This window comes from Homo sapiens, chromosome 11 (genome assembly GCF_000001405.40).
Source record: "Homo sapiens chromosome 11, GRCh38.p14 Primary Assembly".
NCBI classification, from domain to species: Eukaryota; Metazoa; Chordata; class Mammalia; order Primates; family Hominidae; genus Homo; species Homo sapiens.
The window spans coordinates 28,054,211-28,081,888 of NC_000011.10; the positions used below are offsets into that span (position 1 = coordinate 28,054,211).

General features: G+C 33.8%; 1 protein-coding gene and 1 non-coding gene across 4 annotated transcripts in view; one reads left to right on the top strand and one right to left on the bottom strand.

Annotated features, from left to right (window-relative positions):
• The window catches only part of KIF18A (kinesin family member 18A), an 87,538-nt gene that overhangs the window by 33,592 nt on the left and 26,268 nt on the right, over positions 1-27,678 (bottom strand). For 2 of the 3 annotated variants that reach the window (NM_031217.4, XM_017018379.2), the window contains exons 10-13: positions 22,797-22,959; positions 15,049-15,213; positions 8,185-8,306; positions 4,716-4,951 (exon numbers count right to left, since the gene is read on the bottom strand). In NM_031217.4, coding sequence (NP_112494.3) covers positions 4,716-4,951; positions 8,185-8,306; positions 15,049-15,213; positions 22,797-22,959 — 686 coding nt within the window. Of the gene's footprint in view, positions 1-4,715; positions 4,952-8,184; positions 8,307-15,048; positions 15,214-22,796; positions 22,960-27,397; positions 27,559-27,678 lie in introns of those variants that run through there. The other variant, XM_017018380.2, reaches the window with a different exon arrangement.
• Positions 2,605-2,700, top strand: MIR610 (microRNA 610). Its single transcript, NR_030341.1, has one exon. It is a non-coding gene; the product is annotated as a microRNA 610 (primary transcript).

Genomic DNA, 27,678 nt, shown 5'->3' on the forward strand with positions numbered 1-27,678 from the left:
GATTTTTTTTTTTTTTTTGAGACAGAGTCTTGCTTTGTTGCCTAGGCTGAAGTGCAATGGTGCAATCTCGGCTCACTGCAGCCTCAACTTCCCAAGCTGAAGTGTTCCTCCCAGTTCAGCCTCCCAAGTAGCTAGGATTACAGGCATGGGCCACAATGCCTTGCCAAGTTTTGTATTTTTTGTAGAGACAGGGTTTCGCCCTGTTGCTCAGGCTGGTCTTGAACTCCTGACTCAAGCGATCGGCCTGCGTCAGTCTCCCAAAATACTGGGATTGCAGGCGTAAGCCACTGTCCCTGGCCCAGATTCTTAAAAGCACTGCATGTGTGTGTATTTAAGTAAAAAGAATATAGTTAATCTAGTAAATACTTTTAAAGGTCCCTAAGGCACTTGAACTCACTTATAAACACCGTTCCTATTATTCCTCCTTGACACTATTAGTCATGTATACAACATACATAATTCATGAAATGGAAAATACATAATAAATAAATAGTTGATCTCTAAAATCATTTGAATGAAATAGTAAAGTAACGAACCAAGAACAAAACATTATAAAAACAAAACTCACCTTCTAATATGTGTTCAAGAGAAAACACGTTAATTATAAAATGTAACATGGCTTCAAGTCTTTCCTTCAAAAATATCATGAGAAGGAATTAAGAGTCAAGTAAATTCTTTTGTTTTATTGTTGACAAGTATAGTCTGTGCAATTATACTGTATGTGAAATATAGATTTTTAAATAAGGAATAATGAGCATCATATAGCAGGTGGTCAGTATTTCTCAATCTTGGTGTTAAAATCCTATTTCCTTTCTAACATCTTGAGTACATTATAAAAAATGAATCATGCCCGAAAGGTATGAGAGAATCTGAAAAAAACTTAAGTTTTGCTTTCCAGAGATCACAACTAGGTCAGGTCTAATGCTTTATTAAAAGAAAAAGAATACATATGTGTATATACAATATATATGTTTTAAGATAATCTATCCAACTTCCGTATTTTCTTAATGTAAAGGTATAATATAGGGAACTTCTGCTAATAATAAAGATGGAGATAACTCAGACCAACCTTTCTTCTGAAGGCAACTAAAAGTCTGGACAAAATATAAAAAACATCTGTTTGAAGGCACTGGATTATTAATAAGATGGTGAAAAATTACAGGTGAGTATCAGGAGGAAGCTGGAGGCTCAGGAAAGTAATTTCTGCAATTTCAGCTAATTTCCCCTTGAGGTTGTTTGCTTATGCTGGAAGAGCTGGCAGAAAAGCATAGCAACAGTGCTAAGAGCTTTGGGGGAATAGGGTGCTGGAACTGGAATTTAGGATCTTTGTAAATCTTCCTTGCTTTGAGTTGGGACTCTGAACAGCTATACTGTAGAGGGCAAATCAGAAATAGGCAGGACCTCAGGAAACTACAGTTTAGTATCAAATTACCTCAGTCTCTGAAATAGGACTGAGGTGATTCTGAATTGCTAATGCTACCTAGAATATGAAAGAAGGAACTGTAAATATTCTCTGAGATATTTAATATCATGATCAGATGCATCAAAATATTCTGCAAATAATTTTGCAAATACCTGACTGGCACACAAAAAATTTGCATGCATATGAGGAATTAAGACCACATGCAAGAAAATCAGTCTAAACAGATCCAGTGGTTACAGACTTTGGAATTCTCAGACACAGACTTTAAATTATAGTTGTCTCTCAGTATCTGTGAGGGATAGGTTGCATGACCATACTAAAATTCATGGATGCTCATATCCTTTATATATAAAATAATACAGCATTTGCACACAACCTATACAATCCTCCCATATGCTTTAATAATCTCTAGATTACTTACAATACCTAATACTATATATATATACTATGTAAATAGTTATGATGCATTGTTCAGGGAATAATGACCAAAAAAAGTCTATATGTTCAGTACAGATGAAACCATCCATGTTTTTTTTTTTTTTGATTAGTTGGTTGAATCCATGGATGCAGAACCCATGGAATATGGATGGCTGACTATAATTATACCCTTTGTGCTTAATAACAATTTTTGCAAAGATATGAAACTATAAAAAAGAATAAAATGGAAATTCCAGAATTGGAAATATAGCGACTGAAATTAAAAATTTTATGGATTTAAGGATCATTTGATAAAGCTGAAAAAAGAAAGTAAACTGAAGAATGTGAGAAACAAAATTATCCAGGAAGAGAAAAAAACATTAAAAGCAAAAGAGTAAAGGGCATAGACAATACAATGGGAAAGTGCCATGCAATATAATTGGAGTCCCAGAAGTAGAGGAGAGAGCAAAAGTGACAAAAGCAATAGGTGAGGAGATAATGGTTAAGAATTTTCCAAAACAAACAAAAGATAATGCAGAAACAAATTCAGAAAGTCAGGAACCCACTTAAGAGAAGTAAAAATAAAGTCAACTAGGCATAACATAATAAAACTATTACAAGCCAAAGACTGAGGAAATATTTCAATAAGCCAGAAGACAGATTGTATTCAGAGGGGCAACACTTAACATAAAATCTGACTTCAACAGACTATTATTCTCTGTGAATAAGGTCTTACATATTAGCCCTTCACTCCCAACTATTTGTCTATTTGTCTTAGGTGAGCTAAATGTGTGCTGGGACACATTTGAGCCAAATGTCCCAGCACACATTTAGCTCACATAAGAAAAATGGACTCTAGTTGGGAGTGAGGGGCTAATAAACACCAGATCCCAAGAAAATTCCCCATAATGGAAAATATAGGCAGATTTGACTATATAAAAGTTAAAAGTCCAATAAATTGATCAATTATTGCTCAACATATATATAAAAAAAAGCAGCACCAAATGAACAAAGAGTTATTAGATACGAAGTGCCAAGTAAAAAACCAAGCAAACAAAAAGCCCCTCAAACCCATAACAAATAAACAAAAATTTCCACTAGTGTGAATGAGCAAAGGATACCTGACAGGGGATGAATTGGCCTCATCGATAATCTGAGAGTTACACATTTTAAAAGACTATGCAGCTGGGCGCGGTGGCTCACGCCTGTAATCCCAGCACTTTGGGAGGCCGAGGTGGATGGATCACGAGGTCAGGAGATTGAGACCATCCTGGCTAACATGGTGAAACTCTGTCTCTACTAAAAATGCAAAAAATTAGCCAGGCATGATGGCGGGCACCTGTAGTCCCAGCTTCTTTGGAGGCTGAGGCAGGAGAATGGTGTGAACCCAGGAGACGGAGCTTGCAGTGAGCAGAGATCGCGCCACTGCACTCCAGCCTGGGTGACAGAGCGAGACTCGGTCTCAAAACAAAACAAAACAAAAAAAACAAAACAAAAAAGACTATGCATTATTATTGCTGTTGTTACTATTTTTGGTTTAGGTAAAGATGAAACAGTTACTCTCATGGGTACTAAGTACAGAAAAAAATTATGAAAAGCAGTTTAACATGATGCATTAAAAAAAAAATGATATGTCCTTTAACCTGGCAAATCAGCTTCTAGGATTCTGCTATGCACGCACAAATGTGAATACACAGATGTGTTCTCTGATGTACTGTTCACTAATAGAAAAAAGGTTAATTAAATTATGGTACATCTATTCTCTGGATTCTCAAAAACAATAAAAAAATGAGGTAGATTCTTCATGTATGCACCCTAAAAATGTTCATAATAAACAAATAAAACCAATAAACATAATAAACTAAACAAAAAAGTTGCAGGTCACTATGTGTAATGTGCTAGCATTCACGTGAAACCTAACAAAAAGCTTTATGTAATACATGTGTATTACACACATACTGCAAAGATAAATATTTAACAGCATTTAATCTCTGAGATAGGGCATAAAATTGAGGTTCTGAGAAGAGTTGAAGGTGGCAGTCTACTTCTTTTCTTCTACATTGTCTGAATTTTTTTCTTAACTAAGATTATATGTTAGCTTTGCAATTAAAATGTCTCACACATACTTTTATGAGAGAAAGAGAAATATCAAGTGATTTGTCAATAGAAAAATAGTAAACTCTACACTGTTAGTTGATCTTAAGAACAGATTATTATCATAAAATATGATATGATTAATTATAATTTCCTGCCCTTAATAGAGGTTACATTTTAAAGAAGGATGGGAAGCAAAATTGTTCCATCAAAAATAGATAAAATGGGTTAGGCACAGCAGCTCATGCCTATAATCTCAGCAATTTGGGAGGCCAGGGGAGACAACTGCTTGAGCCCAGGAGTTTGAGGTCAGCCTGGGTAACAGTGATACTTTGTTTCTACAGGAAAAAAAAAAAAAAAAAAAAAAAAAGCCAGGAGTGGTGGTGCATGCCTGTAATTCCTAGCTACTTGTGGGGCTGAAGTGGAAGGATTGCTAGAGCCCAGGAGGTGGAGGCTGCAGCAAGCTTTGATTGCACCACTGGACTCCAGGCTGGGCAACAGGGTGAGACCCTGTCACCAAAAAAAAAAAAAAAAAAAAAAAAAAAAAAAAGAAAAGAGTTGTAAAATGAATTTTACTGCTAGAGTTATATAGAACATCAATGCATACTTGTTCTAGATCTTTGGAAGATACTGGTTAATTGAAATGACTATAAAGCTAATTTTCCCATTAATTTTCATAAAATAGACAAACCTATTAAAATTAACTGTTCTATAGATTGATATACAAAGGTTCTCTTTAGAAATAATGTTACTATTTACTTAAAACGAAAGTTATACTTACAACAAGGAATAGGCTGAACTGGTCCAAGTTGTGGAAAGGTCATAAGAACAGAAATCCCTGGTAGATCGTTTTGCTTTGGTTGTTCGGCAGTTTGGTCAGCCCAAACTACCACTTTTTTCCTCTCTACCAAATGTTCGATCTCTTTGAAGTCAGATTCAAAAGCAGCATTTGACAGGCCGGCTTCTTTTAATGTGCAATATTGTTTTCTTAGGGTTGGAAGTAAAGCATTCAATACTCTATATACAGAAGATGAGAAGAAAGGAGAGATAAATATGACATTTTAAACACATTATTTTAGTTCTTTTATGTAACACCCAAAGCATTAGCATATCATTAAAATAATTTCCCATGTATGAACTGAGTTCTAGTCTCAGATTGTCTTCACTTGCTTCCATATGACCTTGGACAAGGCAAAAACTGAAGTTTTTCCTCTGTAATGTGAGGGACAGATAAATAGCCACTACTTATAATAGGAGATTGCTTTGAGGGCTAAATGAGTTAAGTATATTTGTTTATTTATTTTTTAGAGACAGGGTCTCACTCTGTGGCCCAGGCTGGAGTGTAGTGGCATGATCATCTCATTGCAGCCTCGAACTCCTGGCCTCACTTGATCCTCCCACCTTAGGCTCCCAAGTTGCTGGGACCACAGATGTGTGCCACTACACTGACTAATTTTTTTATTTTTTGGTAGAGATGGGGTCTTGCTATGTTGTCCAGGTTGGTCTCAAACACTTAGCCTCAAGAGATCTTCTTGCCTCCACCTCCCAAAGTGCTGGGATTACAGGGATGAGCCACTGTCCCTAGCTAAATGAATTAAATGTACATAAAAGCTTTTTGCAAAACATAATGTGATTTCCAAACTACAGATGTTGTTACTGCTACTAATTATCATAAAATTGAAATGAAAAATTAATATACTATGTGAAATGATGAGACATATTTTAGGTATACAACATTAAAACACACACACACACACAAACACATAACAAAATAACAAAACCTACCTCTCCTTTAAGTTAAATGACCTAAAGAAATGGCTTTTGGAATGGCACTTAAAGGGATTTTAAGGAGAAAAGTTGTGGATAAGGATGGGGAGTATAAATAATCGTTAGGGCACTGGATTCACGGCTTTAACTCAAAATCTCCCTTATTAGCAACAATTACAGCAGCACCGAATGTAATTTTTTGTGTATCAGACCTCTGTGTAAGTGTTCATTGAAGAAATGTCACAGCTAAACAGTTATAAATTTATACACTCAATCAGTGGTTCCCAAATTTTCTATAAAGAAATATGTCTAACAACATGAATGATCTTGAAATGATTCAGTCCTGGAATCCTGAGTCCATCAATAGATGATGTTCCAGTTGACTCATAACATCGAGGAGAAGAGAACCATTAGAAGTATGGATAGGGTAGTGGGAAAAGACTAATCGGGCATTCACTTTCATACACAAAGAAATACCACCTTTTAACCTACAAGTCTTAAATATTTCAATAGCAGCACAAGAAATTGTGACCTTTTTCCTTTTGGTGGGGGTGGCTGGAGGGTGCTGCATTTAAGTCAAGTAGGTAACAAGTACAAGAAAAAGTTATTAATCAAAGTCATTTAAACAATTACTTATTTAGCATCTACACTAATCAGGTACTGTGCAGGAAAGTTATCATAGTAGGTCTGACACTGCTAAGAAAGGCTTGGTTATAAGGTTGATACCTGGCTGGTATTTTAAAATATGGATTTTAGGAGGGTTCCCAGCATTTCCAGAACTCATATGACAAGAGTGGCTCACTGTGCTTAAACTGTTTGCACAAACAATGTGGTTTATGCTAAAACACCTTCTCTCCTTTTGAAAAGTCTGGAATTTTGATACATCCTGGCAGAAAGTGCCTATGCAACCAGCTCCCAATAAAAACCTGGGACATGGAACTCAAAAGAGCTTCCAAAGCAGAGAACATTTCACATGTGCTGCCACAACTTTTTGCTGGAGGAATTGTGCACATTCTGTGTGATTCCACTGGAGGAAGACTCTTGAAACTCTGTGTCAGGGTTCCTGCAGACTTTGCGCCCTGTACCTTTTCCCTTTGCCGAATGTGCTTTGTAGCCTCTTGCTGAAATAAAGCACAGCTAAGAATACAACTATCTGATGAGTCCTGTGAGTCCTCCTAATGAATCACTGAACCTGAAAGTAGTCCTAGGCACCTATAACACAGGAATTATATCATGTTATTTATTTTTATGTTTAATCTTTTCAAAAACTTTATATGAAATGTATTATAATCTATTCATAACCTTTATATGAACTGTATTATAATCTATTTTTATATAAGAAAACTATAGCTTAGCAAAGCTAAATAATCAGCGTAAGGTTATATTGCTCATATAAGCTAGAATTCAAGATTGATTCCAAAACTCATCCTCTTTCTTCTATGCTACATTTCCTCTGTGATCCTCTGGTTCACCAGTTTTCTAAATTGTTGAGTTAGTCTTTTTCCCCCCATTTTAAGGTAAATGTTTATCTTAAGATAGTATATTCATCTGGGGTCTGATATAGCAAATGTAATATGGTTAAAAGAAATTATTGTTTCTTGATGACTTCAGCTCTTGTAAGTGGTTTGAGTGTTAGTAAATGAATATTCAATATCTGCTCTAGGAATAGACACAGAAAGTATAAAGAGATTAGTCTGAACTTCCATCCACATAAGAGTAACTCCCTGAAGTTTTTCATTTTTCTTTTTTAAAAAAAGCTATACTAATATGATTTCCTCTAAATCAAGATAATTATCAGTTATTTGAGCATACCAGTAGAACATGAATAGATTCTTAGAGTAGCAGAAAGCACTTAGAGAAATAAATATCCCATTTGCATGGAACATCAAAGTGATGCCTAAGGAGTTGACTGACGTATCCAATGTGACAAAAAAAAGATTAAGCCATACTTTTTATTATTATGTTTTAAAAACTAAATGACTAATGTTACTACTGAGCTAGAAGAGAGAACATAAAAGGTCTGTTATAGCATCACATAAAAATCAGGACACCTGATATTTAGCAACTTCACTGTAATGACAGCAAAAAATTCTGGAATTATGAATAATTAACAATTGCCTACTTAAAAATTCAAGTGATGTTAACAGCAATTGCTTCTAAGTGGAGAAATGGATGGCTAGAAGATAGAGGTAGAAGGCAGATTTCTTTTCAATGTGTGTAGGTACTTATGAAATTTTGTATTACATAGCATATATTAAGTAAAAGTAACATACTTTTAAAGAAAAACACTTTCAAATTTATAAACCAATGTAAAAACTTTGTTGGAAGGAAATAACTCTCTTAATGTTTTCTGGTTCAGACAGACACTTAAAAATAATGTATCCTGTAACACATAAAACTCAACTTTCTGGCAGTGGAAAATTGAACTTCTGTGCTTCAGATATAGTGTTAAAATTGGAAAATAGGTAAATGTATGTACTCACGCTTCAGTCTGCCTGTGTTGCTGTTCCTGAAGACAAGCTAGATCCATCATATGTCTAATTTGTGCTTTCAAATCTTTGTTCTGGAGGTGCAAATGGTGACAATGAAGATCTTTCTTGAGTTCCTAGGGCAAACAATACAAAATGTACTTCAGATCACTCTAAGAATATTGAAATTAAATCAGTTTAATAATTTTATATTGTTGCCAATAGTTTTAATTCTTTTTAGATATTAAATAATATGTTTAGAAACAATTTGAAAAATAAGAGTTCTGGAAAAGGTGGTCTATAATTTACAAGCAAGATAAGTTTTCATGTTTCCTCAGAAACTGAATGTTAGGAATTCAGAAGAAATTTTACTATGATGACAGCTTCTTGGTCTATCCAACTTGTTCACAATGTTGTAAAAATACATAAATATGACCAGTTTTTGCTTAAATGTCACTTCCTCAGAAAGGCTTTCCTTGAGCATTGTATTTGGATAGACACTCTCCACCCCTCAATATTGTCATAGCATTTACTCTATTGATGAGTAACAATTTCATTGATGTATTCATTTATTTATAATTTCTCTGTTCACACCAGAACATATAGTTTACCACCAGGACAGGCACCGAGTCAGGTTAGTTCAGTGTTAAAGCCCCAGTGTACAAAGTCTTGAGTTGTGTGCAATAAAAATTTCTGTTTTTGCATGAAACAAAAGATCATATGGTTGATATCACCTTTGGTTGGATGACATGGTTAGAGCACTGGCCTATGAGTCATGTGATTTTAGAGATGGGCTTATAAGGCCTTGAAACAAATGCTACCTTAAGTTGAATATACAGCCTTTATGGAGATCAGTTTACTGGACTAAAATTTAAGAGCTGGATCAGATGATCTCTTCAGTCCTTTCCAGTTAGAAAATTAAATGATCCTAATAGTGTGAACATGTTTGCCAAATATTACGTCTGTTCTCCTTTAAAAGAAAAATATCCTTTATATACATCCTCTCATAATCTCCTTTATCTTCTTGAATCTTTCTTCTTTTAAAGAGACAAGACTTGAGACCCACTCTTGATATTAGCTCCATCCTAGGCAAAAGTGTGAAAATGTTTTTTTGCAGGCTCCATTTTCCTAAGCCTCATCTGTCTAGGGCCAGGTGTCCTGTAATCTACCACCTAAAGTTACTTGTCTTTCCTTAAACCTACTAAACCTTATCTACAGAATATATCAGCGAAGGGATTACACCAAAGTATAAATGGTGATAATCTAGTAACATTCTCAGAAATTTTATTGGAAAAATTTCAAACAATACAATGAAAAAAATTTAAATTCTTTGGACATTTTGAATGGCTAAGACAGGAACCCCATATGCAGGGGAGCTATGCCTGGAAACTGGAAACTTCCTCCTAGGGACAATTCTCATAATCCATCTTAGCTTTAGCGAGTGGAAACAATGCAAAGTATTCTTCAGATTCTTTTAAAGAATATTAAGATTAAATCAATTTTAATAAAATAATTTTAATAAATCAAATTTAATAAAACTCCTTTCCAATCTGCAGTTGACCAATAATTTTCTAAAATGTCAAAGTTATTTTTCTCCTTTTTAGAAAGTACTTCCAATGCCAGTTATTGAGACTATGACAGAGAACAATGTCACTCATCCTATTTATATATTAAAGTTAGGAGTTATTTATATATATTAAAGTTAGGATATATTAAATTTAGGAGTTATTTATATAATTCATTATACTTCAAGAAATATAGTATATTTATATATTAAAGTTAGGAGTTATTTATATAATTCATTATACTTCAAGAAATATAGCAAATGTTTTAGAAAAAAATTTATCTTTATGGAGGCAGGACGATACGGCTAGAGTCATGTGATTTTAGAGACGGGCTTAGCCTTGAAACAAATGTCACCTTAAGCCAAATATATGCCCTTTATGGAGATCAGTTTACTTGACTAAAATTTAAGAGCTGGATCAGATGATCTCTTCAGTTCTTTCTATTACTAGTTAGAAAATTGGATGATCATAATAGTGTGAACATGTTTGCCACATATTGCATCTTTTTTCCTTTAAAAAAATCTCTCCTTATAGCATTAGGAGAAATACCTAATGTAAATGATGAATTGATGGGTGCAGCAAACCAATATGGTACATGTATACCTATGTAACAAACCTACATGTTGTGCTCATGTACCCTAAAACTTAAAGTATAAAGAAAAAACAATCCCTCCTTTATATACATCCTCTGATAATCTTATTCCTTTATCTTCTTGAGTCATTCTTTTAAAGAGACAAGACTTGATTGTATAATTGTATTAGTAATAATGGGTCTTTGGCTAGCCTGTTAACTTTGGAAAATCAAGTTTACAATTTAAGTCTTTCTTGACATACTAATGACTAAATCTGATTGGAAGAACATGGCTTATTTTGAGAACTATAAGTAGGCCAGTAATGGCTAAAGTATAGAGTATAATGAAAGGTGATATACAAGCCTTGAGAAGTATTCAGGTGCCAGACCATGCTAGGCTTGGTAAATCACAATGGAGAATTTATTCTAGGGAGAAGGCAGTGAAGAACAACAAGATCAGTTTTGCGTTTTAAAAACTTGCTTTGGTTGCAGTGGAGAGAATGAATTGCAGTAGAACATGAACGAAAGCAGAAGGACCAAACGTAGCAGTCCAATAATGGGGCATAGGAGTCTGCATTAGGATAGCAGCAGAGGGGCATAAAGAGAAGTGGATAGATTCAGAATATTGAAGAGTAAATAATGCAGGAGAGTACAGAGAAAACAGCACCAATTTGAAAGTCAGAAGTTCTGGGTATCTGTCCAGAGTTGTGTGACCTTGGATAAGTCCCTTTATCGTAAAGTTATGTCTCAATTTGCTTATGTAAAAAATAATGGCTTATAACTAGATAATTTTCTCAGCTATTTTTTCAGCTATAAATATCTGCACAAAAAAGAATTGAGGGTTAGATTTGGGTGATGGCAATGAAAATGGTTTTAATTTTATTTGCTCAAGTTATTTGTGATAAAATGCATAAAAATCAAAGATACAAAAATCAATTCCAGGTTCACATTCAGGTGTACAAAAGTTCTTCGTAAGAGAAATCTAGAAGACAGATTGCTAGAAAAATTAGATTTGACCATATTGAAAAAGTTTTAATTTATTAAAAATCCAGACAATATTGATTAACTTCATAAACACTACTAAGTAGACAAAAAAGCAAACACAAAATAGCGATAATAATGATATCAGAAACAATACCATACCATTTTTAAAATTGGAAGCTTACGGTAATGTGGGATAGAAAAGGCAAACTAGTAAATTTCTACAATCGACTTTTTTGCCTGCTTAATACTTCATAAGTTCTTAGTACTTCTGTAGTTGGAATGCTGATTACATGGACAAACATATAATACAAGCATAATGTAAATTAAGTTAGGATCTTGAGAGGTGAAAATACTCTAGCAATATCATTTAAAACTTATATACACAAACATATTTAAAATTTTTAATGAATATACTTAATGCCACTGAACTGTATATGTACACATGGTTAAGATGGTAAATTTTATTTTATATTTTACTACACACAAAAAATTGTTTCAAGACTCTTCTTGAGAAAATTTTTGCCAACTATAAGGGGTAAATAATCTATGAGAATATCACAGCCATAAGTAAACAAACAAATTAAGGAAGCTTCAGTAGTTAATTTTAAATGAGGTCAAAGTTTAATACTAACCAAAAGACTTAGTTTTATGTAGTTTAGAAAATGATAATCTTGAGAATATGACTGCTTTAGATATACAGTCTCCAAATAAACTATTAAATAATAAGTGAAATAAACTGAAAAGTACTGTCAACATTCCACACCTGCTACCAATCCAAGAGAATCAACTCTTGTGTATTAAATGAGAAACACTCATTTGGCCAGGGTTATCCAGCTGTTTTCTTTGAAGTGATTTTATCAACAACATAACCATATTTCAGTATTCCTACAGGCACTGTGATAGAGCCTGTTGCATTCTATGATGAGCCTCTATGGCTTTATATGGAATTTCAGAAGTTATATCCTCTGATCCTAGCTAACTTATATTATAGTTTATTAATGAATCTTGTCTTTTTTTGCTTACTCCTTTTGAGTCATTATATCATCTTAAGATGGACACAACGTTTAAAAAAAACGTGCTATAGTTTCCTTCTGAAGTAGATATTCTTAATCTTGTGTCAATGGAAGGGCTTTAGGAAACCCAATGACTTAGGAAATATGCAAAATTGTATAAATTTGACCTCCCCAATCTCCCAGCTGGAAGAAAATCTACACAGCTTTGAACAGATTCTCAAAGGCATCTATGACCCCCAAAAAGGTCAGAATCATTGTTCTGGAAGAGAAATTATATTATATTATATTATATTATATTATATTATATTATATTATATTATATGATGCAGTTAACTCTGTTGTTAACTATGTACACTTTTCTTTGTACAACTTGCTTGGATATTGATGTCTATGCTATTGTTGCTTAGAATAGTATTAAACTATTATTTATCATCCATTATTATTTGTTAAGTGTTGCTAGGTTTTGAATGTAGCACTCCACTTAAGCTCATAATATCTTAAATACATTTACAGATGACAAATTAAGACATCAATGTTAAACACACTGTCCAAAGTCATATAATTATTGTTAGAGTTGTTATTCAAAACAACTACTATATGCCAGAATTACCAAACACTCCAACTCCAAAGTCTATCCTTTTCCCAATGTTTACATTATTTTTGTGGGGAATATTTTAAAGTGCCTTACAAACTAAGTTATATTATTGCAAAATATTACTAGAATGTGCTGTATTCTATGTTTAATGTCCTAATCTACTTAACTAACTGACTGGTATGCTTTTATCAAGATATTTTGAGGTGCAGATTAAATTGTTGGCTCAATAAATATCCACAATAAGGAAATACTGTCTTTGGTTTCCTTCTTAGGAAACAGGATATCTGCTGCTTGCTCCTTTCACTACTTTGAACTGTCATCATTAACTACTACTGCTAGTCTTTTCTCTCCAGTCATGTCTGAGCTTCCATATTAACAGAATAATCATTTACAGCCATTGCTAGCCCATCAGAGAATCCATTCCCCAGTCATAATGCATTGACTAGTATCTTTGAATTATAAAAAAATTAGTACTTTTGAACATTTAAAGATCTCTGGCATTTGTTGGTAAATATTTCATATTTTCCTTCACCTGTATTTTCTGTCTGGTGCCTTTCTAGGAATTCAAAGATTTTAGAAGTTTCCATATCAATTAGCTGATACAGAGTTATAGAATTTCAGAAGAGCATCACCAAAGTAGAGACTGTAGATATTTTTTCTTTTAGAAAAAGACTGAAAAGAAGTTGTTCTTTTAAACTATTAAGTATTTGGGTGAAAATTAGTTATTTCATAGCAGTTGCTCCTAGTTGCTTAGCCCACATTTACTTTCTTCTTCTTTCTTATTAAGAGATCTCCAATCCCATTACTGGGTATATACTCAAAGGATTATAAATTATTCTACTATAAAGACACATGCACACATATGTTTATTGCAGTGCTATTTACAATAGCAAAGACTTGAAACCAACCCAAATGCCCATCAATGATAGGCTGGATAAAGAAAAGGTATATTGCACATATATACCATGCAATACTATGCAGCCATAAAAAAGAATGAGTTCACGTCCTTTGCAGGGACATGGATGAAGCTGGAAGCCATCATTCTCAGCAAACTAACACAGGAACAGAAAACTAAACACTGCACGTTCTCACTCACAAGTGGGAGTTGAACAATGAGAACACATGGACACAGGGAGGGGAACATCACATGCCAGAGGCTGTCAGGGGTAGGGGGCAAGGGGAGGGAGAGCATTAGGACAAATACCTAATGCATGCCGGGCTTAAAACATAGATGACGAGTTGATAGGTGCAGCAAACCACCACAGCACATCTATACCTATGTAACAAACCTGCACATTCTGCATATGTATCCCAGAACTTAAAGTTAAAAAAAAAAAAAAGGGAGCTCCAATACTGTTCAGAGTAATTATGCAAAAAAAAAAAAAGACAATCTTTTCAGAGTGTCTTCTATCTACAGATAGCCATGTGACATATTTCTAGCCAATACATTAGTCTGTTAGGAATTTTTGGAAACATCTTTGCTCTCCTGATATAGACATCCCTCCTCCTTTCTTTCCTCTTCTTCTGGCTTAGGTGTGTAAACTTGAGACTAGATATGAAACAGTAATATTACAATCATGAAACGACAAGCACGATAATGACATTTTAAAGGTACTGCATTAGAAATGAACTGCATACTTCCAAGACTTATTGTTAAGAGAACAAAAGACAGCCCACACTAGTTAAGGCACTAAAGTTAGACTACTGCAACCTTGTAGCAGAACATAATTCTAATATGATACTGTCATTACCCATCACTACACTTCAAAAATAAAACCTTTTGCCATTCTAAGGTGGAATATCTTCAGTTACACACACACACCCCCTTTCAAATCAACTTTCTTTAACCATAACACATTTAATGTTGACCTCATTTAAACTATTTTTGCATAAAATATCAAGATTTCAAACAAATTACCTACATAATGAATCCTCAAGTGCAGGTTGAAATAGAATTGTTTATTTTAACCTAAAAGCTACCTTATAAAAGGATGCAATCACTTAGAAATAACATTTAAAAGTAAATTAAATCTCAGAGTTATGAGGCAATAATAGTTGTCTTATGAAAGACATTTACTCAATAAGAAAAAGAACACATTTTAGGAGCTCAGTTCCTACAAATTAAATCTGAACATACAGAGATATTTGTACCTTTGGAATATGACCGTTTTGACTTAAGAGTCCCATTTCTTTTTCGACACGATGGAGCCAATTAGTATTCTCATCAAATTGCTTCAATTCCTCCTCCCTCCTTTTCTCCAGGTAGGAGCGACGAGTTTTCAACATTGCAAGTCTATGATCTCGTTTTCCAGTGGCCTGAAACACGATTCATTTAACAGTAAATCTAATTTTTATGATATTTGATGTACATGATATTAGTAAACTAGTATATTTTCTTATGTGTACTATTGTAGTAAATTAAGTTAGGCTACATTTTTGTATTTAAAGCTATTTCCCCCTTGAAATCTCAGAATACTACTGCTTGCAAGAAAATAGGAAATTGAGCTGTGAGTCATTTTTATAAAATTACAGGTTGAGAGTTTATGGCTTTAAGAAATACAACGACCAAATCAAAGACTATAACTTTTTTTTTTTTTGGCGTTAAAGTACAGTCCCTTCAGTATGTTTCATTTGAAAAGTTCATACAAGGTCAGATACATTCCATGATCTCCTTACTCAAAATCAAAGCAGATGCATATATTGCTCTTGTCTTTGATGTGAAGAAATAATGTGTTCTATTGTTCTGTGTTTGCCTATAAGGCCTCAAATTGGCTGATATAAATCACAGAAAAAAGAGCTTATATCAGAGTGCTTATCAGTATCTGATCTTGCCTGTAGCTTGGTTCAGGAGCCATAATGAGTATTCAAAATATTTTTGGTGTTTTACCTAGGCACAAATTGAAATTAAAATTAGTCTTTGATTTCTTACCCTAAGGGTCTTGCACACTATCATGAAAACAATGGGCCAGAACATCTTGACGTCTCTGGGGTATTTGCCCACAGACACTAAAGTCAATAATTATCAGATAGGATGGGTAGACCTGAAACAGTGGATCCCCAAAGGTTAAAATAAGCATTTGCAGCTGGTTCTGGAAGCAGGAAATCAAAAAAAAGAAGAGCAGAAACTAGATTTGAATTTGGTCGAAGAACTCCCCCTCTTTGGGAGATAAATATCTCTTAATTTTGACAAAAGATGTACTATTGAGACTTGGGCATATAATAGAAAAATATGGTTATCTTCATCTGGATAGAGGATATGAGCTTATAAATGATTTAAGGTCAGGCAAAGGTGGCTATCATGAAGTCATAACCAAATCTTAGATATTCATAAAATTTTACTTACCTTCCCCTCAAGGGAAATACAAGAGTCAGAGAGAAGCAGATTCCATTTCAGGCTAGAGTCATAGATAAGGGAAAAATAGTTGATAGCCACCGTCATTCTCACTAAGGTTCCTGACTCTTTTTTATGGCTTCTCTGGTTAATTATAATATCCTAGTCTCTGTCTGTCACAGTAAGACAGTAACAAAAACAAAACAAATGTCTCAAAGAAACAAAAACCTGGATAGTCAAGAAGAGAAAACAAAACAAAATGTAACCCATCAAACTGACCACAGCGCTAGGATGAGAATTGTGACAGAATGCTACAATGCAGGCTGGGATGGTGGCTCATGCCAGTAATTCTAGCACTTTGGGAGGCTGAGGCAGGAGGACTGCTTGAGGCCAGAAGTGCAAGACCATCCTGGACAACATAGAGAGACCGTGTCTCCACACAAAAATTAAAAAATAAATTTAGGCTGGTTTCGTGGCATGTGCCTGTAGTTCCAGCTACTTGGTGGGGTGGAGGGGCTGATGTGGGAGCATCACTTGAGTCCGGGAGGTTGAGGCTGCAGTGCAGTGAGCCATGACTGCATGATTGTGCCACTGCACTCTAGCCTAGGCAACAAAGTGAGACCCTGACAGCAAAAACTAAAAAAAGAATGCTATCATGCAAAGGTTACCCAAGCATGGTACAGGGACCCCTAAGGATTCCTGAGATCCTTTCAGAGAGTTCACAAGGTTAAAACTATCAAAACCATTTTTATAATATCAGGAAAATGTTATTAGTCTTTTAAAATTCTTGTTTGCTCATACAGTTAGTTGCACAGTAGTTTTCTAGAGGCTAAATGATGTGTAACATCACAACAGAATAACAATTCAGCAGTTATGAGAATAGAGCTGATATGAAAAGCCAGGCATTAAAGAAATTTGCAAACATGTAAAACAACGCCACTCTTCTATTTTCACTATTTTTGAGAAAATAAAATTATTTATGTAACCACACATAATTTTTATTTTAATTATTATTTAACATTTAATTATTTATAATTTATTGCTATTTATTATATTTTATTAATATAATTTTTATTATTTACAATTAAGCTATTATTTAATATTATTTATTTTAAAATGAATCAATGCATAAATATATTTTTATAAATCTGTTTTAATTTCTAATATAGAAATATTGGTAGAGGGAATACATATAAACAAAAGCTCTTTGAAGTCCTAAATAATTTTTAAAAGCAGAAAGGGGTCCTGAAACTTGAAGTTTAGAGCCACTGCTATAACAGAAGGTGGGAGGTGTGACCTATTGACTTTTCTCTGCTATTCAGCAGATGTAAAAATTTAGGCAAACAGATTTTAGTGGGTCTTCAGTTACTTCGTCTGAAAAATGAAGATGAAAATATTGTACCTAACTGAAGGCAGGCAGCTAATTAAATCATCTTTATTTTGCTTTAGCATTTACAGTCGTAGGGACTCTTAGAAACCAGGGCATGTGGGTCTGGTGGCAGCAATATTTAATATCAGAAAATCCTAAATGAAACCTCAAAAAGTCCATTTATGACTTTTTACTTCTAATGTCCATCAAATGTATCCTCTGTGATGGTTCTCAGAGGACATTTTCCATCAGAATACTACCACCACCCATTGCTCTAAAATGGCAAGTAAGTGTTTGGGAATACATTCTAAAATATGCATGTTAAACCCTGACATTAGAGTGAAATGTTTCCCATTAAGTTTTAAAAAAGCTTTACATATTTCATTAACAAAATCCCCTGCACACCACAAAAGTCTTGCGAGAGAACAAACATAATTCTACAATTTTAGTTGTTACTACTGCTTTGTGTAAAATAATTGCTAATATGGTAAATTCATATTTTTACATTAAAAACAATCTTACAGATTATTTTTATGGGGTCATGAAATTACCCAGGAGCTTCCCTTTAATAGTAATTTCAAAATCCATACTCCAGAACTATTTATAGCTGAATCGATGTTATGAGATTCTTTCAGCACTTCTGATAACAAACCTCTATTGGAGAGAATCCAAAACATAAAATTCCTTGCCTTAGAAAAGCAGTTTACTCATACTACAGTTTGACACTTCTGTGTAAAAACAAAACGAATCAACCTCTAGATGTCTTCCTATGTTTTTCAGTGGGTTAACTACACCCAATAACTCAAGAGTTTTTATCTCCACTGCTTACCTAGTCTCATAAGAATAGCTATGATAATTGGGAACCTGAGGATTGAAATGACCAAAAGTAAGAGATCAGAAAAGGCAATTGGGTTGAAAAAAGTCTAAGCTACTGTGCAGAAAAATAAGGATGAAAACAGAAAAAAAAAAAACAAAACCATAAAACCAGTCAAACCCATTCTATTACTCTATGTCTTAATCTTTCTAGATAACCACATTCAAAATTCAATGGAGGAATTAAGACAGTAAAATAACAATTATCTAAATTACTTTGGGATTACATAGTCCAAGCTCATTAATTATACTAAATAATAATATTCAAGTGTTTAAAAAATGGAACTCAAAGTTTTGATAATGCTACTCCCTTGCTTGAAAGACTGCATTTTGGCTACAAAAATAGATTTTAGACTCCTAGCAACCAACAATTTCACAATCTATACCAATATCCTACCTTCCCAATCTATTGTTAATAATTCCTAACATGGCAAATATGTTTAACATCATGTGCCAACTCCAGTCCATTCATTGTGGTTCTGGCTACTTTCAAATTCTGAGAGAAGGTATGGCCACAGATCAGTGAAATTTGCTGTGGGTAAGGGAGTGGGAATTGGCACGAAGTTTTGAGTATAGTTATGCATTTCTACACGTATTGTCCAACAAATGTGACCTGCTCTGGTCAAACTCAGCAGAGCAAGTCACATTTGTTGGACAATATGTATAGAAATGCAAGGCCCAGTACAAATCTCATCTTTCCACCAGGAAGCCTTCTTACTAAAAATAGGAAGTCACTGCTTACTTTTCTGAATAGCTATAGCATTCACGGTACTTAGAATATAGCAGAGTGATTAAGAGTGCAGGCTCTGAAGCCAGACAGCTGGGGTTTAATATTGGTTCAGCCACATTAATTAGGTAAGTAACTCCAGACAACCTACTTGAGTTCTCAGTGCCTCTGTTCCTCACAAATGGTGATAATATTAGATCTATCTCATAGGCTTGTTATAAATACTAAATTAATTAATCCATGCAAAAAACTTTGAAAAATGTCTGGCAAATAGCGTTCAATATCAGCTGTTTTTATTATTACTATTTATATGACAAGCATATAGTGCCTTATCATTTTTATTATTTTTATTGCTCCAACTAGTATGTAAATAATTGAAGGACAAACACTTCTCTTTCTTTACCTCCATTGTGTCAAGCACAAGGGTTTTACATGTAAACAAGTGTTCAATAAGAGTTTCGTTAAAGTTGAGATGTTAAGTCAATATCAGCTTCCTATGGCTGCATTTCTTGCCTTTTGTCAAAAAGTAAATCTTAGATAACTGCACATTCAAATAATTGACACTTATATAATCTACACAAAACTGAGAAGAATTATTACCCACTGAAGATTACTATGTAATATAAGTGCTAATAATTGAAATAAACCAGGCATGGTGGTGGACACCTGTAGTCTCAGCTACTTGGGAGTCTGAGCTACTTGGGAGGTTTGTGTGAGTTGTGGAGTGAGACCTTATCTCCAAAAATAAAATAAAATAAACATAAAAAATAAAGAAAAGAAGAAAAACATCTTAAAAATTTGAAATAAAATATATAATTCTTATATAATATGGTACTATTCCAGAATTCTGTTCAGCAACCATATGAAAGAAGTTCACAACAACAAATTGATAAATTAATCCAATGAGATAGTTATTTGGAAGTCATTACATTTATCAAAGAATATTGGCAACAATTTGAAGTTCATGAAAGTGAAAGTACAAATATAGCAGCAAGATATAAATTCGAAGAAATAAATTGTTTCCTTTCTGCCTTAAAAGAATGCAAGGAACATCTTAAATGCATCTCAAAACACAAAATTGAAAAGAAAATTTCATTAAGGCATAAAAAGCACACACTCAATAAATATATTACTAATTTTGATAATATAGTTTAATAGCTACTGACAAACTGGTATCAATGATACATTACTGAATGCTTTATGATTAATTTCCGGTACAGCGTATCTTTCCCATTTCATAGGCTAACAAAAATCTAAAATGTTAGCTTTGAAAAGCACTCTTTAAAATCTGACAGCTTCTGGACATTAAGAAATGCAAAATTTTTCTATATAATTATTACTTCTGTGAAAGTAGGAAAAGAAGAAAACATGTTTGGGGTGGTAGTTTGAGAGGAATGGGTTGTTACTTATAAGATAAAGCTTTTTAATAAGTAGTATTTGAACATCATATGTCTATGTAATTAAATTACATAAAATACATAAAAATACAAATAAACTCATCACCAATGAATATCGAAACTGGGGAGAATTGTCAGTATTTTCAAAATATTTATTTTTCTGATCTTTGGTGCTCCGTAGTTTCACACGTTTAGGTATATATTTATCTTATACTGCTTAGAACTCATGCTTCTTGAATTTACATCTTATTAGTCCTAGATAATTCTCAACCACAAATTTTTGCATATTGCTCTTTTTCACTAAATATCTCCTTCTGAAATGCCTATTAGATGCATGTATGACTTTTCTTCTTGTTACATGAAGTCTATCCTTTATACAACATCTTGTCCACATGTGTTATCTTTATCCTGCATTTGGTGTAATTTTCTCAAATCTGTCTCCCAGCTCATGTAAAAAAGCATAAACATAAGAGCACAGGCTCTAGATCTGGCATGCTGCAGATCAAATCAGAACTCAGCACCTAGGAGCTGTGTCACCTTGGACAAAATGACTTGTATTTTGGTTTCCTCATTGATTATTAGGATAATATTACTAAATATTTCATGGGGTTTTCTGAGAATTAAAAAGAGTCAATATATGTAAAGTGCTTTAACATTTTCTGATATTGTATCAATAAGGTGAGTTTTTAATTTTAATGAATAAATTTTTAATTTCTGGAAGTTTCATGTGTTTTTTACCTCATATTTGAAAGTTCTTTTTTTGTGGTGTCTTTATCTTTGATTCCTTTATCTTTGTTCATTCTTATATTTTCTATTAGATTGCTCTAGTATCTAAAGATTTGGGAGTTCTGTCATATTTGCTAAGAGTACTGAATCTTGTCTAGAGTGAATTATTTCTCCATCTGTTTTGTAATTTTGAAAGTTGAATTTATTAGTGGCTAGAGTTGAGAATCTGTTTCTCTTAAGAGGCTGATTTTTGCATTGCTTCTGCCAGGTTTTCTAGTGGTATCATTGGTTTGATAATGTGCATTGTAATTGACCAACTTTAGGGGTTTTCTATACAAAATACATGGGTTGTAACAATTTAAACCTCAATCATTGTGAAAAGCAAGCCTATAATGGTAGTGTTCAAATGACTTTTTTTTCTTACCCCAGGCATGGTTACTTGGGGTAAGAAAAGCAACCATCCTTGCCAACAGTGATGGTTGGCAAGAATTTTTTTTTTCCTGGTATACCCCTAGTATAAAGGATATAGGCCACTGAAATTTCAGGCTTTAGATAGGAGCTCTCATTTCTAACTCACCGTCTCCTTTGGGTCTCTTATCTAAGTAGTGATGTAATCAAAGTTAGAAGAGTGGGAGTGGTCTGTGTTTGGAAGGGAGAGGGCAGTATATTATTGTATTAAAAAAAATAGTAAAACTGATTAAATGTTTGGTCTGCTTTTCATTAGGCCCCTGCCCTGGCACATCTAACAATTTCAGTGATAAAATTCTTCTCTGACAACAAAAATCTCCTGTTGGTCTAAGTTGTAAGCTACTGCCTGCATCCAGGATAGACTGCTTCTATTGCTCTACCTTTAGTAACTGGCTAACCTGAGTGGGTAAACTTCGTGTTAAAAGTTCCATAAAATGCCCAGAAAAACAACAGTTGTAACTGAGATTCTGTTGTTTTTGTTTATTTCCTTTTTGTTACTGACATCCAGGAATTAAAATTTCTTTCTTGTGCACTTAACTATGTATTTTAAAAAATGTTTGCTACATTTTCTCCAACATTTCCAGATGTCTGTAAAGAATGGGTGAGTAAGTAGCCTTGACTATAAAATTTCCAGAGTTAGAACCACCGCCACCAGGCCGGGCACAGTGGCTCAGCCTGTAATCCCAGCACTTTGGGAGGCTGAGGCGGATGGATCACCTGAAGTCAGGAGTTCAAGACTAGCATGGCCAACATTGTGAAACATCATCTCTACTAAAAATACAAAAATTAGCTGGGCGTAGTGGTGCACGCTTGTAATACCAGCTAGCTGGGAGGCTGAGGCAGGAGAATTGCTTGAATCCGGAAGGCAGAGGTTGCAGTGAGCTGAGGTTGTGCCACTGCACTCCAGCTTGGGCAACAGAAGAAGAGACTCCTTCTGAAAAAAAAAAAAAAAAAAAAGCCCCCATGTTTTTATACTTTCTAAAATTTAATTATAAAATTGTTAATTACCTTTTCTACTTTGTCTTCAGAACACATCATTTCTATTTGTTTATGGCACTGTTGTTGGTAGAATGATTTAAGTTCATTTTCTTTAAGTAACATTTCCAACTTCAGATATTCTTGTCTAATTTCTTCTCGATTCTGGAACAAGCAGTTCAGGATTTCTTGAAACCTACCAAAATTAAAACACATTACAGAATCTCACTAATTTTGTAGCAAATCATACAAAGTTTACTTAAGAGAAATGCATAAACAAAGGAATATATGTAATTCACAGAACTACACTCAATGATAAACAGCAAATAGGTAAAAATGACTATTTCCTATTATAAAAAATGTTTAGAAAAAGTTATTAACTTTACTTATACTACATTAGGTTTCTTTCTCACCCAAGGAAGATCATGTTGCTGAAAGATATGGGCATCATAAGGTGTCTGGTATTGCTAACATACTGCATTTTGTCTATGCTTACATCTATATGTAATCCTATTGCTTAGCAAAAATAAAATAATTTTTGTTTGTTGGAAAAGGATGATAACCTGGGCATGCACTATCCAAATTCACAAGGCCCTATTAGCAACACAGCATTATGTGTTGTTACGGTGTTGGCTCACCGTGAAGGAATAAGCAGTAGGAGGCATAATCATATGGTGCCTCCATGGCCCCCTAGGGAAAGTGACAGAGCCAGTTTTTAGCTTCAGAATTTGTTATAGTGAAAACAGACCATACGGTTAGGTACCCCCTACAGCCTGGCTAAGAATCAACTGACACTTCCAGGACTTAAAACATCCAAGTTTATAATGTGGTAAACCTAGAAAAGCTGCTGCAGTGTGCTTCCTCCTAAGGGCAATGTAGGTCTAGAATATCAAAGATGAGGAGTTTGATTCATATTTCCAAATGGCCACAGACTTCAAGCTGATTAAATTTTATGAAAACTCTGGATGGAACCTGCAATCCTGTATCCTTCTGGGTCAGTAGAACACTGGTCACAGTAATATTTTAATTTTTTAAAATATATTCATGGTTTTAAGTCATAGATCAGCTCTGAGCTACAGTAACAGTATAAACATTCATAACAGTGAAGACTTTAAAATAAAGTAAAATCAAGTACATGCATTTAAAAAAAATGTTCTAAACTGGCCAGAATTTTAGATATACTCATAAGGATCAGCGGTAAAAACACTGCCAATTTACGTCAGTAGCTCTTAATGAAACTCTATTGGGAATGAATATAAGCCACAAAACACTGACTTTACTGCAGTTTTGTCAAACTGATAAATATTTCATAGGAAATATGTACAGACACTGTGATTTCATTGCATTATATTACACCAACGGTAATGCCAGTAAATGAATTGATAAGTTATCTTTAGGTTATACTTAAAGAGATAATTTCTTAGTTTTTCTATAACTTTTTATTCAAGGACAAAGTTAATATTTGTCAATTTTGTGATCTAGACTTATTTTAGGTGGTGGTGTTCACTGATTAGGATGAAAGGAAGGGAATTGGTATCAAAGGTTTCTAGAGAGCTCCTTAACAACACCAAAAAAAGCTATCGTTTTAAAACTGAAAGAGTTCTAAGCAAACATTCAAGTTAAAAGTATCTGCACCAATATTTTTAGGTAATACATGAGTATTAAACTCCACAATTTTCTTGGTATAGTCATAAGTGAAGTTTTATAATTACTCTTTATAAAAGAACAATTGTGTTTTCTTTTTATGATTTCCTTTTGAGAATTACCTTTCCAAATAGCTCTGATAGACAGAAAATACTGCAGATTCTTCCTTTTATCTGTTTAAACTTCATAAAAATGTTATTTAAGTTTTATAACAAAAGACACTTTGAAAATTCATGGCATTAAAAAAGTCCCATGTAACAGTATGATGGATAAAATAAAAGATATTTCATACATTTATTTCAAAAGGCAGTAATTTTTAGGGGAAATAACAAAAGTTATTTGGTACATAATTTTTATCATTAACTTCTTCATAAATACAAGTAAGTTACTTAACATATTGCCAGAATTAAAATCAAAGCTTTTATTGTTGGTCAAAAGTCAGGTTGAAATATGAAAAACATCCAAATAAATACTTATTTCATAGCTCAGGCCCTTCCCTCCTGAGAGGAGGGCCTTACCAGAAAGAAAGGTTCAATTATTTAAAGCCATCAACTCCAGAAAAGTTTACTAATCTGTAAGGTTTTAATTGGTATAGTAGACTTGGTTAAGCAGTGCTGAGCAATTTTATGGAATCAGTTACTCTAAATTTGAGAAGCTGGAGAATTCTAATAGATATCCAATTACATGAGGACCGCTCCCACATTTAACTAACAAAATGAAATAACAACAACTAATAATACTATATCAGAGTTAAAAGTTTTCTTTGATGAGATGAAAAACCAGAAATCATTTTTACTTATTTCTTAAGAAATACTGTAAAATATTTTATGTAAAACTTCAACACACAAATGCAATTTTAAAAAATTATAGCTGAATCAGGTCTGAAAGCCACTTTTGACTATAATCTTGTTTTCCTTATAGATACTGAGACACTTTCTACTAATTCTAGAGCTCCAAAACAGTATGAATAACCATTGGTTTAAGTTGTAGTTGGTTTCTCATACTAATAACAGATAACTGGCTCTGCAGAATGTCAAATAAGTTTACCTTTACTCAATTTTAATGAAAGTTGAACAGATTCCTTTACTACAGGTTTTCCCTTTAATAAGCTGATGTACTTTGGAAGTTTCCTAGATTCCTTATGGAGTAATTTCCAAACTTGTTTATACAGGAATTCCTTATTGTCCTCCTAGAAGTACTCAAGATTAACATCTTGATCCAGTGTCTCAATGGGTCAATTTGGAAAACTGTCTTAGCTGCTTGAGGAAAAAGTACTTTTGCATACTGTATTACTAACTGCTTTCTTTTTAAAAATTTACCTGCTAAGAAGCTTAGTAGAAACCTCTCAAAATTCTGTATTGGTTTATATCACTGACAGATGTTCATTCAAATAATTACCCATTCAGGCTCAATAAGTAGATTAGTTAAGCTATAGAGAGTTAATAAAATGAAGAATAGAGTAGATTTACATGAAATATACAAATAATGATTATGTCAGAAAAGAACAATATGAGCGCCACTAAAATTAAACTAAGTCTACAGGGTGACATAACTGGCTTTGTCTCCACTATCTTATACCTAAGTTCTGGTTCTCTTCAATATATGTAAAATAAAAACTAAAATTACTTGATCTACAAAGTGTGAAATATAAAGAGAAATCACTGACTTCTTGAATTCAGTTGAGAATATATATACAGGCATACCTTGTTTTATTGTGCTTTGCAGACACTGTTTTTTTTTTTTTTTTTTAAACAAACTGAAGGTTTGTGGCAATCTTGCTGTGAGCAAGTCTATAAGCATCATTTTTCCTACAGCATGAGCATTCAGTGTCACATTTTGGCAATTCTTGAAATATTGTAAACTTTTTCATTATTACATATCTGTCATGGTGATTTGTGACCAATGATCTTTGATGTTACCATTGTAATTGCTTTAGAGTGTCACAAATTGTGCCCATATAAGACAGTAAACTTAATCAAGTGTTGTGTGTGCTCTGACGGCTCCACTGACTGGCTGTTTCCCTACCTCTCCTCAGCCCTCCCTATTCCTTGAAACACGTTGAAATCGGGCAAATTAATAACCCTAAAATGGCCTCCAAGTGTTCAAGTGAAAGAGTTAGTTGCATGTCTATCATTTTAAATCAAAAGCTGGAAATTACTAAGCTTCTAAGGAAGGCTTGTAGAAAGCCAAGATAGGCGAAAAGCTAGGTCTCTTGCACAAAACATTTAGCCAAGTTGTGAATGCAAAGGAAAAATTCTTGAAGGAAATTAAAAGTGCTACTCCAGTGAACACACACACTAAGAAAGTGAAACAGCCTTATTGCTGATATGGAAAAAGTTTCAATGGTCTGGATAGATTAAACTAGCTATCACATTTCTTTAAGTCAAAGCCTTATCCAGAGCAAGCCTTCTAAATCTGTTCAATTCTACAAAGGCTGAGAGAGGTGAGGAAGTTGCAGAGGAAAATTCTGAAACTAGCAGGTGTTGGTTCATAAAGTTTAAAAGTGTAAGAAAAAAAGCCTTCTCTAGAACATAAAAGTCTAGGTGAAGCAGCAAGTGCTGATGTAGAAGCTGCAGCAAGTTATCGAGAAAATTTAGGTAAGATCACTGATGAAGGTGGCTACACTAAACAACAGATTTTCAAGATAGACAAATCAGCTTTTAATTGGAACAATATGCCATCTAGGACCTTCATATCTAGAGAGAAGTAAATACCTACTTTCAAAGCTTTAAAGAACAGGCTGACTCTCTTGTCAGGGGCTTTTGCAGCTGGTGACTTTAAGTTGAAGTCGATGTTCATTTACCATTTACAAACATCCTAGGGCCCTTATGAAATATGCTAAATTTAACTCTGCTTGTGCTCTACAAATAGAACAACAAAGTCTAGAGGACAGCACATCCGTTTACTTAATAATTTTAAGCCCACTGTTAAGACCTATTGCTCAGAAAAAAAGATTCCTTTCAAAATACTAATGCTCACTGACAATACACCTGGTCACTCAGGAGTTCTCATGGAGATGGACGAGAAGATTAATGTTGTTTTCATGTCTGCTAACTCAACACCCAGTCTGCAGCTCATGGATCATGCAATTTTGACTTTTGTGTCTTCTTATTTAGGAAATACATTTTGTAGGGCTATAGCTGCTATAGATACTTTCTTTCATGGATCATGCTTCTCTGACGGATCTAGGCAAAATAAATTGAAAAGCATCTGAAAAGAATTTGCCATTGTAGATGCCATTAAGAACATTTGTGATATGTGTAAGGAGGTC